Below are 3,302 nucleotides of genomic sequence, written 5' to 3' on the forward strand. Positions count from 1 at the left end.
TACCTGAGAGTGAAGGATTTGAGAGACTGGTTGAGCCTATTTTAATAACTCAGGAGTGATAACAGAGGCCTTGCAAGAGCAGGAAAGGTAGGGATGGAGTAGATGGGCAGATTTGAGAAATATTTAATGGGAAAATTGGCAACACTTAATGGTTGATTATGAGGGAGAAGTTATAGGTAGCTCCCAAGTAGTCTAGGTGATTGGTACATAGTGGTGGCAGCTGAGACAAAATACAGGGAGGGGCATTTTTAAGTGGGTTCCAGACAAAATCTGAGTCCACAGAATTAGTACTTTGAAATAGAAGTCCTACAAAACGAACCCTAAGAATATGAATGCCATGTGCAATAAGGGATTTCCTGGTGAAGCGTTTTTAGCTGAGAAAAGCCTACTGTTTACACAGTGCCCTCTGGTGGTCAGAAGATGCTGTGCTGTCTCGTTAGGATGAATGGATTAAAATGTACTTTTCCTCCTCTGCTTCTGGAGAGGGAGAGAGGAATATTCCAGAAGCCACTGTGTTCCTTCTGCTTTCTGTGTGGGTAAGTTCATTTCTTAGAATATAATGCAACTGAACTACAGGAACATCTCACTTATTTGTAAGTTATTTGGTTGGCAACCTCAGCTATCCAGTGCCTTGGCCTGATGCAAAAGAGGAAGGAAATATGATCGCCTGTCAGCAAAATTCAGGAATTAAAACTTTACATCTTATGAGCATTTCCCTAGATCTTCAGAAGATGTTGTGCTCCCTCTTTAGGATGAATGGATATGTAGATTCAATTTTCAATGAGTTTTTGTCTAATTTCACAGCCAAGAAGAGATTGAAATGGTGGGCCACAGGAGATCAGCACACCTTTCAGAAGTGACAGTTGTTGGCTTGCAAGTAAAGAGACAGAAAAATACTAACTAGCCAACAAAGCCCAATCTCCAAAAGCATAACAGTCTGAGGCCATTTTGTGTAGGTGCAAACCCTTGCAAATTTGAACAACTACTATGTTTCAGCAAAACATAATTGTTTCAGAGGAGAAAACAGCCAGCCGGGTGATGCTATATGTGTAGGCTGCAGTTAGAGTAGTATGAAGAGCCCTAGACCAGGATTGAGGAGACCAAGGTCTTATCCTGACAGCCACTAAAACTAAATGTGACTTTGAACATACCACTTAACCTCTTAGGGCCTCAGTTTGCTTTTTGATCTATAAAGCAGTGGGTTGAACTTGATCATTTCATAAAATTCTATAAACTGTAATTATGACATTAATTTTTTTTAAATTGTACTGTGCTTGGATTGAAAAGGCAAAGGAACATTTGTCATCTCTAATTTATTTAAGAGTCCTCTGAGAAGTATGATTATCCCAATTTTATAGATGAGAAAATTGGGCTTAAAGAAGTTCCCGCATAGCTAAACTAGTGGTAGAGTTTGTATTCAAACAAACAGTATATGCTCTCTGGCTTCTTTTTTAATTCCTTCACTTGACAAGCACATATTAAGTGTCAACTATGTGGGAAGAGTGTGCTAGGCACAAGGAAAACAAAGGCCATTAAGCCTTGTCCCTGTCTTTGAGGCTTCAGTACAGTAGGCATTGCTGTATCACACTGCTCCTTGGATCTCTTGTCAGTGCTAATGATACAAGTAATACTACTGCACTGTTAGGCTTAATATATAGCTCCATTATGTCTTTAGGGTGTGGGTATAAAACTAAGCCACCATTTATATTATTGTTTCTATGGGAATATGTGTTTCAAGTTCCAAATAAATTAAAAATAAAGTTTTAGGATATAACCCAGTTATAATTGCAGAACTTCCTGTACTAAGTACTGAATTTGGAGTCTAATGCACAGCCACCAGTGCAGATAGTGCATAAAATTTTCTAAACTTGATCGTGTTTGTCACTTAAGTGCGTTGAAATAAAACCTCTTATCTTTGGGAGCCTCTACAACTGGTTATTCCTGGAAGTTTCAAGGAGAAACCTAGAGAATGTAATAGAGATTGGACCCTATACCCTGCAAGATGGTATTCTAGGAAAGAATTTTGCCAATGTGACATTATTTTTATAGATGGCAGAATCTTTAAGGTCATGATCTTGGGCTTAGAGTCATATTGCCTGTGTTCTAATCCCATGAAGTCCTCTCTTTGTGATATTACAAAGGTTATATAACACTGTATGCCTCTGTTATTTAATCTTGAAAATGAGTCTTATAGCAGCATCTACTTTGTAGGGTTTGTTACGAGGATTAAATGCTAAAATGATACTTATATATGCATACATACACATAAAATGATACCTATATATGGATACATACACAGATATGCACACATACACACATACATGTATATACATACATGTATATATGCAATATATGTGTGCATATCTCACACATATATATTGCATATATCCATATATATCCATATGTGTATATGTGTAATGTATCTGTGAGAGATATATATACATCTCCCTATACATCTGCCTGGAATAGAGCCTGGCATATAGTGAGACATAACAAATGTTAGCTATTCATATTATTATTGTATTACAGTTGTCATTTACTCTACTTTGATAACCTTCATCTACCAGTCCAGTAAAGCAAATCTACCTTCTGTCCTGTTACATTTCCAGCCAAGCTGCTGTGTACCCTCCTCAATTATTTACATACACATCTATATAAATACTCGAAATGCCTCACCCTTGCTTTCTGTTTATCCTACTCATTCATCAAGGCTTTACTCAAATCCTACATCCTTCCTAAAGCCTACTATTTTGGTATAATTAACGCTTTTCTTCTAAACTCTTGCTGAACTTTATTCAATATAGTTTATTTTTATTTTTATTTTTATGTTTGAGATGGAGTCTTGCTCTGTTGCCCAGGCTGGAGTGCAGTGGCTCAATCTCAGTTCACTGCAACCTCTGCCTCCAGGTTCAAGCGATTCTCCTGCCTCAGCCCCCCAAGTAGCTGGGATTACAGGCATCCACTATCATGCCCGGCTGATTTTTGTATTTTTGTAGAGACAGAGTTTCACCATGTTGGTCAGGCTGGTCTTGAACTCCTGACCTCAGGTGATCCACCCACCTCAGCCTCCCAAAGTGCTGGGATTACAGGTATGAGCCACCGCACCGGCCTCAATATAGTTTATTAAACTCCTCAAATTGTTTCTTGGTTTCAAATTTAATCCCTCATATACAGTTATCTCTATTGTACACCATCCTTCTCCACCCTCCATTTCAATGCTCTATCCAGTGTTAGGAACATTATGAGTATTCAATAGATTCTGATATTCTGATGTTAAAATGTAAGAATCCTTTCATTACATT

At 38.0% G+C, this 3,302-nt stretch overlaps 1 protein-coding gene across 28 annotated transcripts in view; it reads left to right on the forward strand.

Annotated features, from left to right (window-relative positions):
* The window catches only part of ZBTB1 (zinc finger and BTB domain containing 1), a 29,978-nt gene that overhangs the window by 7,133 nt on the left and 19,543 nt on the right, over positions 1-3,302 (forward strand). For 12 of the 28 annotated variants that reach the window (XM_047431095.1, XM_047431091.1, XM_047431106.1 and 9 more), the window contains one exon: positions 401-536. The exons of 12 other annotated variants lie outside the window; for them this stretch is intronic. The gene's annotated coding sequence lies outside the window, so the exon portion shown is untranslated. Of the gene's footprint in view, positions 1-400; positions 537-804; positions 953-3,302 lie in introns of all 28 variants that reach the window. 4 more of the 28 variants (XM_047431098.1, XM_047431092.1, XM_047431096.1 and 1 more) reach the window with 1 other exon arrangement.

This window comes from Homo sapiens, chromosome 14 (genome assembly GCF_000001405.40).
Source record: "Homo sapiens chromosome 14, GRCh38.p14 Primary Assembly".
In the NCBI taxonomy this organism is placed as follows: Eukaryota; Metazoa; Chordata; class Mammalia; order Primates; family Hominidae; genus Homo; species Homo sapiens.